Consider the following 12,310-nt stretch of genomic DNA (forward strand, 5'->3'; position numbering starts at 1 on the left):
CAGATGGACCAGACACTTCAGGGAAAGCTTTAAAAAGATGTCTTTTCTAATTCAGGTTATACACTCCTTGAAAGTTCCTTCAACATAAGCATGAAAGTTTGCAGATGATTTTATCAGGTCTGACAGCTTTTTTCTAGAGGTTAGTTTGCAATTGCCTCTCGGGAATAGTTTGGTTGAATTTCACTGGATTTTGTAAGTAAAGGCAGGAATGTTTCTAATAAGTCAACAAACTGAAAGTCCTAAGCAGTTTGCATCACTGCCAACTTTCTGAGTGCGACCCTTGGCTGGTCAGAGTTTGTCTGTGTTCTTTTTTTTTTTTTTTTAATAACTCTTCATCAGCTAACCAAGGTTAACCCAGAGTTATTGCTATTTCTTCTACATGTTTTGGACATAGTTTAATAGTAATTATGTTTAGGCTCTAATGATGTAAAAAAAAAAAAAAAAAGAAAGAAAGAAAGCTCAAACCCTGGCCAGTGCAAAATTATTGGAAAGCATTTTAATACAACTATCTTAATCATATTTCTAAATATGTTAGTCATGTATAATAGTTACATTGATTCTAATCAAACTCTCCAAACATTCTATCCCTTTTCAATGCCATAAGACCTATATATTCCCTCTTAAACTGTTAAATTTTGTAGCCATTTTTAAATGGTCTAATTTACTTTTGGACTCACCAAATAAAAGATGCCTAAGTTGATTATTAAATCATTCCTATTGGAATAGAATAAAGTACTTAATCATATTTGGACAAGGCAGTAGTTAATAAGAACCACACACTGAAGTACTTTCTAATATAATGTCCCCTTACATACACTACAATTAGTAAATTGTTTGGTATATTGGCTTTAAATGGACTGGCTTCAGTAAAATTTTGGTTGATACTTAATATTTTTTAATTATTTTCACCAGACTTTGGAACTGTTTTCATAGCTGGAGAAACTGATCCACAGGGGTTAAATACCAAAGCACACATCAAGTTAGCCATAAAACCTAGAATTGCAGTAATTACACAAACTCACACACTCACAGACACATTTTTAAACTCCATCCTTAATGAAATGCTGATCGATGAAAAAAAATCACTTTATTTTTCTTGGCACATTATTTTCCAAGATAGGTTATTTTAGTGTCAAAGTTTAAATTAACAGATGGACTGGATAAGTTCATTTGGAAATGATGCTATAGTATGCTGCATAAAAATGAAAATTTTCTTTCCCAAAATTTACCAGAAGGTAAAAGACAGAGAAAGAAAAGAAAAATAAATGAACATGACTTTGGAGATAGAGGCATCGATAGGTCAAAGAGTTATGGAAGCAGCCTTCCAGGACTTTTTGGAAGTCTTGGCCTTAATTTCTCATCTTCCAAGAGGACAGAGATTCTCCAAAATATCCTCTCTTAGGACTTCTCACTGCCTGTCATCTGGTTTTTCCTTTATTTCTCACATTCCCTAGGTTCCCAAAGGAGAGATCAGAAATTGAGAAAACAGAGGCACTAGAGAAGGAACATTCCAGTCCCTCTTCACATCCCACAGGTCTGAGTCCTAGGCACCTACAGCCCACCACTTAGGCCAGCTTGACTGCCTAGGACCCTGGCTCCGACCTGTGCAGTGTTCTACAGATGGACAGCATAGCACCTTTGGCCTGCACTGCAACATCAGTCCCCAATGATCAAGCCAGCAGAGAAGTGGCCATGCCTTAGGTTGTGGCTGACTTTGCAGACAGAGAAGGAAAATGAAAGAGTGCCTTAAGTTCTACTTCTCAAAAAAAAAAAAAACTTTTGGGTACTAGGCTTAATAGCTGGGTGATGGAATAATCTGTACAACAAACCCCCATGACACGAGTTTACCTGTATAACAAACCTGCACATGTAACCCTAAGCCTAAAATAAAAGCTTAAAAAAAATAGGTCTACTGCTCCCAGTTAAACGACTGCATCATTCACTACAGAACCGGAGACAATTTAAAATAATTATAACAGAGGCCGGGCACAGTGGCTCACACCTGTAATCCCAGCACTTTGGGAGGTTGAGGTGGGTGGATCACTTCAGATCAGGAGTTCAAGACCACCCTGGCCAACATGGTGAAACCCCGTCTCTAATAAAAATACAAAAACTAGCATGGTGGCGGGAGCCCGTAATCCTAGCTACTCAGGAGGCTGAGGCAGGAGAATCACCTGAACCTGGGAGGCAGAGGTTGCAGTGAGCTGAGATCACACCTTCGCACTCCAGTCTGGGCCACAAAGCAAGACTCCATCTCAATTAAAATAAATAAATAAATAATTATAATGGAAGTGCAGTCATTCTGGAAAGACACAGACTTAAGACAGCTGTGTGACTTTGGATAGGTTACATGATCTCTCTGAGCCTCATTTCCCTCAATGTAAACCGAGAAGGGTGATACCTATTCTGGAGTTCTTTTAATGAGGATGTAAGCAGAGCTCCAGACTCATGATGAATACATGGTACACATTTAATAAGTGACAGCTAAATACATTATACCTTTGCCTGATTTTAGGAGAGAGGTCATAAGCTGGATGTGAAAATGAACCAAATCACTAACAAAATTGCAGCACCCTGTTGGAGACGGTAATTTTTTCTTAATTTTTCTGCCTACAATTTCCTAGGTCTTCTAATTAACATTGTGATACTTTAGCTTGTAGCCTAGCAGTCTTGTTCTTGTCCTCAATATTAAGTATGCTCAGTCATATTTTTAGATAACTTAACATTGCATATTTATTTTTAGACAGCCCAGCCACACATAAATGACCAATACAAATCAACATAAAAGCAGTTCATATCCAAAGTGCCCAGTTTTAACCCTCTGTAGCTGGCAGTTCCATTTTTAACGCGAAGTTTCCTAAAATGTATAATCTATAAAACTAATTTTATAGAAAATTGACACTGAAGATATTAAGAAAAATCAAAGCATTTTGTGGTCAATTAAATTGGGGAGATGGTAGGGTAAGCAAAGTTAAGAAGGGTTTTTTTGGTTTTTGGTTCGGTTTTGCTGTTTTGTTTTATCACATGAATTTTCAAAACCTTCAACATTCGAACATACATGACATAGCTCTAAAAAGGTAATAGGAGTCCTACATTTCCAAATTTTATCTGTGCTCAGAAATGACATTAGGTGACATTACCTGAATTCTTCTATTGTCTTTTTGTAGAGACATTTGCCATAGGCACAATAATAGGGGTGATGGGGCAGGAGGAAGGGAAAAACAGAGTGAAAGAAGGAGTTCCAGAGTAACTACTCTTTAAGGCAGGGATCACAGATCCTAATGCCTACAGGAGAAAGTGAAATCAAGATCAGAGGTGGGCCAGACACAACCCAAGAGAAGATGGTAGGTCAATGGCAAACAGCAGATCATATGGTCTTTCTACCTCAATTCACACTTTTAAAAACATTCTGTGCACCTGTATATGTCTGTGGGCCCTATTCACCATACATTGCAAGCATGAAGCCCCTATTCTTAGGAGACTGCTTTCATTTTTATTTCAAAAACAGCACCAACTTCAAGAGTGCCTTCAAAGACCCAAATTTTAATGTGTTAAAGGGAGGGAAAAAAAGATAGAGCATATTAGAGCAGGAGGTGGCTGTTCCTCTGTCTCTTTGTCACAGCTATCACTAGACCCATCTCAAAGTTAAGAGATGGGATCCTGTTTGTAGTTCAACATTATGTTATCCACAGGTGGATGGATAAGACCTGCTTATGCCTTTGGATCATTTATATTTTACCAGACACTGTTCCATGTGCTCTACTTGTAGCTCCTCATTTTATCCTCACAATAACCCTATCATGATCCCCATTTCACAGATGAGACACGAGAGAGTTTAATCCACTGGCCTGTAGCTACACAGCTAGCAAGAGACATAGCTGGGATTGAAATCCAGGTTGTTTGGTTCTAAAACTCTTAACTATTATGCTCAACTCAGTCTTGGAGATGTTGTTCCCAATTTGAGGGGTCTATCAGTTTTAATTGCTTTCAGCTGCAGGTGACAGAAGTCCCAGCTACCAGTGTCTAGAACAAGTTTTGTTTTTGTTTTTTTTCCACAAAACAAGAAATCTGGAAGCAGGTGTCTACTGGCAGTAGGGCTGTACCTCAGCAATGTCAGCACCAACTTCTGCATGCTGGTCACAAGATGGTTAGTTCTTCACTGGGCATCATATATGAAATCAAGAAGCAAGAAAGGAAAAGGGGTGGCACCAGCCTTAAACCCTTTCCCACAAGGCCCCATCAGACTTCAACTTATACCTCATTACCAGAATGACATCACATGGCCATGTCTAGCTGCAAAGGAGTCTGGGAAAGCAAATATTTCTCTTTTCAAGCCCCAAGAGTGGAGGCAGGAACAGGAAAATCTCGTTGGGAACAGATGCTGGCTTAGCCAGCCAACAGTGTGGACCACAAGAGATTTGGTTTGGTTAAGAAAATACCAACAGAACTTCATCATACAGTGTATCACCCATGACATGAACCCAAGGAAAGTTAAATAGCAACAATTAAAAGTTTGCTGCAAAACCAAAATTGAATTATAGAACTCCTATTACCTTTTAAAATATCTGTTTCCATTCATTTCCAAAAATCTGAAATTATCTGTAAACATTTTCCCAATCAAATCTGTCTAGGTAGTGTGTAAAAATTACTTGACCTTCACACACCCAGATACTTTTAGTTATGCTATTGTTAGTTATGTTATTTCATAAAATGTTATCTCCTTATTTACAGTTGATAAATGAAATGATGATTTTCAATACAGTTTCAAAACTGGATTGAAATTTTGTTAGTTATTAGAAACTAGAAAGTTTCAGTGCTGAAAATACACAACGGGTTGTTTGTATTTATCATCTATTTTATTTTCCAGTTTGCATTGGCTTTTCTGGGTCTTTCTACAACTTTAATTGTAAATTTTTTCTTTTATATTTTTATCATGGCACTCAAACTCAGAAAACCTGTTAAGGCAACTACATAATGTGATCTAAAAATCCAGTTAACATATTGCTATGGAAACCAGGAAATAGAAACAGCACTCTAATCATTCCTTTAGACAACTATGGCTCTGTGTGTGTGTGTGTGTGTGTGTGTGTGTGTGTGTAAAACTTTTTAAATTCATTAATTTATTCATCTTTTATTGAAAGCTGTTACTGAACCCAAAATCTGTAATTGATCTGTCCATAAATAGGCCCAGTGCCTTATTACCAGTAAATTAGTGTTTTTTAATGAGCTATAGTCATTGATAAATTATGCCATGCCGTATCAGGAAATCTCCAGTCAGGCCGCGTTGTTTATTTAGCCTGCTGAGGCCTCTTGGTATGGTGTGAAGGACACCTGACTGGGCTGAAAGCTAAGTTCTAACTTTGCCCCTCTTACTAACCAGCTATGTGACTCTCCTGGGAACTTTTAGGGACTCAGTTTCTTTACCTGCAAAATGGTTCAATGCAAGACTTTAGTAACGTAATGGGAACTTTCCTTTTCCATAAAACTGGGGAATCAAGAGGTAATCTCTTTTGAGGACTGAAATCACTCTTATGTAACCTCTGGTTACATTATCATTTCCAAGTGCCTGGCACTTGGGAAATGATAACTATTCTTACTACATTTTTCTATGTTTCATTCTGTAGTAAATAAGAACTGAACCTGCATAGTAACTGTTATTTTAACCCATGACTTTCAATAACGAAGATATCTATGTCTCATTATCTATTGCCATGATTGAACAAGTTGGTATGAGAGCCGGAACGAACTCAAGTTCTAACCGGCAATGCCCGTTCCTTAGATCCTATTACCTTTGAGTGTTCATTTACTCTTGTAGGTGCCAATTTTTATAGCGAAATACAAAGTTATCCCAACACAATTACTCCTAATAGAGTTCACCGAGGCCCCAAAAGCTCTTTTTTAAAAATCATCATAAGATTTCAACATTCAAGAATTAAACTTTTGTTCTGTTGTGCTTATTCATCGCTATTTGCCCAGTTATTTAATCAGCCTGCTTCCGGCTATGGAAAAAAAAAAAAAGAAAAAAAGAAATGGAAGTCTCCTCAGGGTTAAACTCCTCTGTTGTTCTTCCTTGCAGAAATTTGAGTTATTATAGTAGAGGATAATCGTTGCATAATGAAATCATTGGGACAATTCGTCCATCCACTTCTACCTCCGCCTCTAACAATGAACTCCTTGTTTCTGCGGTGCCCAAATCTCTCTAAACCCGGGTGGGCGCGGGGCGGTTAGCGGAGACGTGGGAGAGGCCGAGAGCAAAGCTCGCGCCCTTCCCGGGGTCAGCGAGCGGGGTGCCAGGAGGGTGCGCGCCCTGCATCTGAGCCCGGGGTGACACTCGCCTCCCAAGCGCCAGGAGGGGGAGACTCGGTCCCGCTTATCTCCGGCTGTGCTAACTTCAGACTGCCTGAGCTGGGGGAGGAGAGCGCGCAGCCAGGGCGAGAAAACTTCTCCACCTAGAAAGTTTCACCTTGTCGTGGGCGGGGCAGAGGCGGGAGGAAACGCGACCCCCGCGGGGCCAGGCGCGGCGCGGACGGCAGGAAGGGCGGGGGCCGATTTCCCTCTGGGTGGTGCCAGTCCCCACCTCAGCGGTCCTCGGAACCCGCGGACTAGGGGACGGACAGCACGCGAGGCAGACAGACACGTGCTGGGGCGGGCAGGCGAGCGCCTCAGTCTGGTCGCCTGGCGGTGCCTCCGGCCCCAACGCGCCCGGGCCGCCGCGGGCCGCGCGCGCCGATGCCCGGCTGAGTCACTGGCAGGGCAGCGCGCGTGTGGGAAGGGGCGGAGGGAGTGCGGCCGGCGGGCGGGCGGGGCGCTGGGCTCAGCCCGGCCGCAGGTGACCCGGAGGCCCTCGCCGCCCGCGGCGCCCCGAGCGCTTTGTGAGCAGATGCGGAGCCGAGTGGAGGGCGCGAGCCAGATGCGGGGCGACAGCTGACTTGCTGAGAGGAGGCGGGGAGGCGCGGAGCGCGCGTGTGGTCCTTGCGCCGCTGACTTCTCCACTGGTTCCTGGGCACCGAAAGGTAAAATTGCAGCCCCTTTCAGATCCAGTACCCAATCCCTCGCCTCAGGGGTTCTGCTTTCTTTGTTCCCCTAAGAGACCTGACTGCTGTTCCAGGGGGCAAAACCACGTAGGTGGGCTAGAGTTTAGGGGCTTCGGAAACTGAAGAGACGTGGCCACGGCGAGGACGAAACTAGAATGGGGCTTGTCTTTTTAGGGGGTTGCTTCTGATGGCCACCTGTATGACTTAGGAGGGAGAGGGGCGCTGGGACAGTGGGTGATGTGTGACTGTTACGGCCCAGCAAGTTTTAAAGCTGGGATCTGACTCAGCCCTTACAAAAGGGATCCGGTCATCCTCGTCCCACCGTGATGCAGCTGGCAAGGTTTGAGCCGAGCTGTTTCCTTGTTCCCAGCCTTGCTTTATCTGTGTTATGTTGGGGTCCTTCCAAGGGGCAGGTGTTTCTGTGAAAGTCTGAATTCATTTCTGGCAATCACGCGGGGCTTGTGATCCATCAATTTTCCATCGTACCTTATCTCTTTCTGGGGCTTGTGGTGGACATCTATCTTATTAGGTGAAATAGATTATAACCAGAGGCTGAGCGATGTGGCCAGTCGTAGTGCTGACCCGATAATTAAAGCACCAGTGAAAGTACTTTCCCTGACTATTGTCAATGCAGAATTTACTCCGAAGTACGGTTTCCCATTCATATCTTTCATGTTTTAAAAGAGCCATTTGCTAATTTGGCAGTTGGAGAGGGCTCCAATGGCTCACGCATGAATAGTTGCCCAGTGTATTTTACCTTATCACAGTTTTATGTTCAAAGGAGCCCTCGGGCAGAATGAAATATTGTCAACTCTCTTAGGCAAAATAATCAAGATACTTTAATTGCTATGTTAAGATGGTCCATGAATGTGAGAGGATTGTAAGAACTGACGTTGGAGGCAATATAGACTATCTGGACCCTCTCTTGAATTTTAAGAAGACTGTTCACATTCTGTAGCTTTGGGTGGGGGTTTATTCTGTCGCTTTCATCAGCCAGACACATGCACATTGCCATGCAAATGGATTCAGAAAAACATTATATTCCCTTACAGCTAAACTATTATAGCTGACTAATGAATTTTTTCTGCATGAAGATGATCTGAAAATGATGTACATCATGTTTCTCTGTGCTACAGGGACATAAATTGCATTTTTATGTAAACAGTGTAAGTGGTGCTTGGATTATTTACAGGTACATAGCTTTCCTTCCTTGATCTAAGCTAATTGAGCTTTGTTTTGAACGTGTAAACTTCCATAATGGAACATAAGTGAGGTACTTTGGTTCCTATCATTTGCAAGTCTGTGGTGTATTCAATGTTCATTCTTTTTGAACTGCTGAATAACAGAGGGAAAATTTACATCATTCATAAGAAATTTTGGTAGTACAAAAATGTGTCTGATAGCCTATAAAATGTACTGCTGTTTTAAAAATTCTATTCCGTTTTCAAACTTAATGGTGTATAAGCTATAGTTATTAACTTAAATATATTTTGCTTTTAACATGATGGAATTTGTGGCATATAGAAGACAGTCTGCCGACTACTGCTTTTTCAAAATTGCTTTGTTCTTGATACATGGCAGTAGGGGTTTACATTAGATGTATACTACATGCTTTCAAAATTAGTTGATGGAGTTTATCTTCATGATAAAAAATGTACCAGATTAATCATAGCCAGTCAATACGAAAGCTCATAACTAATATTTTCACTACTTTTAAACCTATAATAGAGAAAAATGACCCTTTGCTAAGCAGGAGAAATACCCATATTTTATAAATTCCTTTTAAGACTATGTAAGTATATGCCTTGCATTAATCTTGAAATCTTTAAAAAAAAATTGTCTTAATGAGGGCTAGACTAAGAAATACATTTCAAAAATCAATTTCCTTAGCTGTTTTTAAAATAGTGTTTGAAGTAGCATTAGTCATATTATCCTTCTGCAGATCTACATAATAGTCTCAAATTAACTTTTTCTCAAATGTGGTCATCTCAAAACAACGTGAATAACTCAGAGGAGCTAACATCCTCTAACTGGCTTATTTTCTCCAAGTGGCTGCACCAAAGACATGGCAACACCCCCATGGTGAGCACAGTTCCTCACACATTCAGATTACCTCCCATTTCTCTGTCCTCTTCCTCCTCAACCCTTTCCCTTGGTTTGGTCAGAGCTGCTTTCAAGGCCTTCCGTGCCCCCATTTCTCCAGCCCAGTTTGCTCGTTTCTTCTTTAGGCATTAGGCTTAGTGATTCTCGCCAGAGCCATCTACGCTTTCTTTTCCGTGGTCTAAATCCCTAAGATTTCCTTGGTCTGCTGTGTTTATTCATAGGATACTCAATTTCCTCATTGTGCCCTCTTAAGGGGAGAAAATGTATGTAGAAACTCAAGTGTCCGGAAGTGAGCCTTCTTTTCCTGGCTGGTGTATGCTGAAACTAGTGTTTTTGACACCAAGCCCTTAGGGCAGAGTTTCTTCATGGGTTTTGCTCAGTGCAAAATAAATAGTCACTTCTCAGTAATAAATGATAGATACACTGACTAATGTTAGTTCAGAATCACTTTGATGATGTGTTCTCAACTGACACTGAGTTGCTGCTAGATCCACATTTGCCTGACCAAAAATAGCTAGGACCTATAGGTAGAGTATCATATGTGCTAGGTACTACAGCATTTTCTTTAAAAGAAAGAAATGGAATCTGCCCTTGAGAAGTTTATGATCTAGATACACAGACAAATATCACATATTAAATGAACACAAATTCATAATTATTAAGAGGACATCACATGAGAAACGCTTTCAAAATCATCCTATTTGCTATGAAATAATAGAATTTTTTTTTAAAAATCAAAGTTTGGAACTTAAAAACCTTAACATTTTCAAGCTGTTTCTGCATACATCACCTTTCTGATACCAAAACGACCTTACAAGATAGGCAAGTCTGATAACATCTTAACATTCTTATGTTATAGACAAGGAAACTGAGCTTGAGACTAGCTCCATGCTATTTCAATAGCACCATACCACCTTTCCTCAGCCATCAACTATTGGAAACATTTTCCATGGAGGCATCATTAGGGATGCTTAAGATAGTGGTAAATGATGAATATAACATATCTAGTCCCTGGAGTTTTTGTCACCTTCTCTTTCTCCAGTTCTCTCTCTCTTTTTTTTTTTTAATTTCTTTTCTTTTCTTTTTTTCTTTTCTTTGTAGTGAGACATACCGAGAAAAGGTTTCATTCATATGTGTGGGGCATTCTGCTCCTGTTATCAGATTAAGAGCCGTGAATAATTTTGTAATCTATCCTTCTATCAGAAAGCCCATTCTCAGATATCTTTTCAGCTGTGTTAAACAGGTTAGTATATTCCGCTTGGGATTTGTTTCAATAAAAACATCCAGTAAAATCTGACTACTTTGCTTTTCATGGGACAAAATGAAAAAAGTGCTTTTATAAGCTGTAAAACTTAATTGAGAGAAAAAATCACGTGTGGCATTTGTAGCAGGAGGTATGAGCTCAGTGAAATAAAAAAGTTAACTTTGTAATCACATACCCAGGTACACATATTTCTCTCTGTGATTGCATAAATGTGTGCAAGTATGTTTATGTAGGTTACTCCCATTGATTTTAATTTCTATAATAAATTATGTAGCTATAGGGCCCACAGGCGATTATATAATGGGCAATAGAATTTGAAAATGTATCTCTCCTAATATAATTAAGGATAGCAATTATGAAATGTGCTTAGAGAATCACAAGTTATCGTGAAAGCCAGGTTCCTGTACTCCAAGAATGTGAATGAGGATTTAGTCATTCATTCAGGACAATTTTTTGACAACCTACGAGGCATAGTTCTAAAATCTGGCATTTCCACAGAGTATAAAACAGATGAAAACCTCTAACCTCATGACACTCTGTTCTATTGAGTTGGCAAACAATAAAGAAATACATAACTGAAATGTGTTGTATGTCAGGTGATGATAATAGCTTCAAGGTAGAATAAAATGGAAAAGAGAATAGTGACTGTCAAGGATAAGAGAGAGTGGGATGGTGATTGAAAAACTCAATAGTGAGGTCAGGGAAGGCTTGTCTTCAAAGGTGGGCTTTGGGCTAGAATCTGAAGGAGATAAGGAAGTGAGCCAGGCGCATATGAGGAGCACTTCTCAGGAGTGCTATTCTCATCTTGTTTTTCCTGAAATTGTGCAGTTCACAGCTTGCACAACTGTCCATAGACTCCCTGATTTTGGAGGGAGATACCTGAATAGTGCCCCTGTTTTTGTAGGGAAATACCTGGACAGTGCCTGCCATCATTAGCTACCATGTTAAAGATGAAGATACAGGAGTGGCCCACATCTCTTGGTTTATGAGACATGGAAGAAGAAGACCCAGAGTGTTGTTTTGTTTTTTTTTTTGTTTTTTTGTTTTGTTTTGTTTTGTTTTGTTTTGCATCCGCCTGGTCCCATCCCATACTCCATCCTCTATCAGAGATATTGCTCCATTCAGACAATTTTCCTTCTTATTTTCCACACTGTGAGCCTGTCACAGTGGGATTTGTTGAGAAGGATACCCATGGCTTTTTTCACTGATCCCTTCCATAGTATAAATCTAAAGACAGCAAGAGGCAGTTGCTGATGGTGTGCAGCTTCTGTCTGCTATGCACTTCTTTCTTTCCCCCTCGCTCTCCTTCCTTTTCCTTTCCAGTATTAAGTCACTGCATTGGATTTTCTTCCTCTTTTCTTCCTTTTCCCTTATTCCCCTATTTATATCCTGTATCAAGATTTGCAAACAGGTAACTTAAATGAGGAAAACTAACCATTTCACTAGGGATTGACAAACTGCTTAGGAAAAGCAGAGGGGCAGTCACTGCTTGGCGTGATTAGAGCTGTTGTGAGGCTCAGTGTATGGCATGGGCCCATGTGGTAGTATCTTTCAGATTTTCAAGAGAAGCTAGGACTCTCCCAATTTTAAAATGTTGACTCAGTGTCTTTAAAACACCATACAGCTTACAGTGGCAGAAAGTCTGCAAGCCAGATTGGGCTCCTGATGGTCCCAATTGCAGCAGCATGCATGGCCCGAGAGCCCCAGGACTGCTTCTACAAAATATTTTATTTTCTAAAATTCTCAGAAAATTAACTAAACAAATTTTTTAAAACCAATATTTTATGTCAGTTCCTATTGGCACGTGGTTATTTTTCTAAACTCATCAGCCCACATACTTTACATCAAACTATGTACGTTTCTAAACTAAAGGGTAATCTAGTTATTTCATTCTTAAACTGAAGTAGTA

General features: G+C 40.4%; 1 protein-coding gene and 1 long non-coding RNA gene across 8 annotated transcripts in view, besides 3 other annotated features; one reads left to right on the forward strand and one right to left on the reverse strand.

The window, feature by feature from the left end:
- The window catches only part of COMETT (cytosolic oncogenic antisense to MET transcript), a 124,434-nt gene that overhangs the window by 101,971 nt on the left and 10,153 nt on the right, over positions 1 to 12,310 (reverse strand). The gene's annotated exons all lie outside the window — the stretch shown is intronic.
- Positions 6,240 to 6,289: a silencer, noted in NCBI's record as "silent region_18560". NCBI's record gives its function as "represses an Ori minimal core promoter by ATAC-STARR-seq in GM12878 lymphoblastoid cells {active_cell/tissue: GM12878}" and the evidence as "EXISTENCE:reporter gene assay evidence [ECO:0000049][PMID:35858748]".
- Positions 6,420 to 6,549: a silencer, noted in NCBI's record as "silent region_18561". NCBI's record gives its function as "represses an Ori minimal core promoter by ATAC-STARR-seq in GM12878 lymphoblastoid cells {active_cell/tissue: GM12878}" and the evidence as "EXISTENCE:reporter gene assay evidence [ECO:0000049][PMID:35858748]".
- Positions 6,610 to 6,799: a silencer, noted in NCBI's record as "silent region_18562". NCBI's record gives its function as "represses an Ori minimal core promoter by ATAC-STARR-seq in GM12878 lymphoblastoid cells {active_cell/tissue: GM12878}" and the evidence as "EXISTENCE:reporter gene assay evidence [ECO:0000049][PMID:35858748]".
- The window catches only part of MET (MET proto-oncogene, receptor tyrosine kinase), a 126,182-nt gene continuing 120,503 nt past the window's right edge, over positions 6,632 to 12,310 (forward strand). For all 6 annotated transcript variants that reach the window (XM_011516223.2, NM_001127500.3, NM_000245.4 and 3 more), the window contains exon 1: positions 6,632 to 7,013. The gene's annotated coding sequence lies outside the window, so the exon portion shown is untranslated. The remainder of the gene's footprint in view (positions 7,014 to 12,310) is intronic.

This window comes from Homo sapiens, chromosome 7, assembly GCF_000001405.40.
Source record: "Homo sapiens chromosome 7, GRCh38.p14 Primary Assembly".
Taxonomy (NCBI): Eukaryota; Metazoa; Chordata; class Mammalia; order Primates; family Hominidae; genus Homo; species Homo sapiens.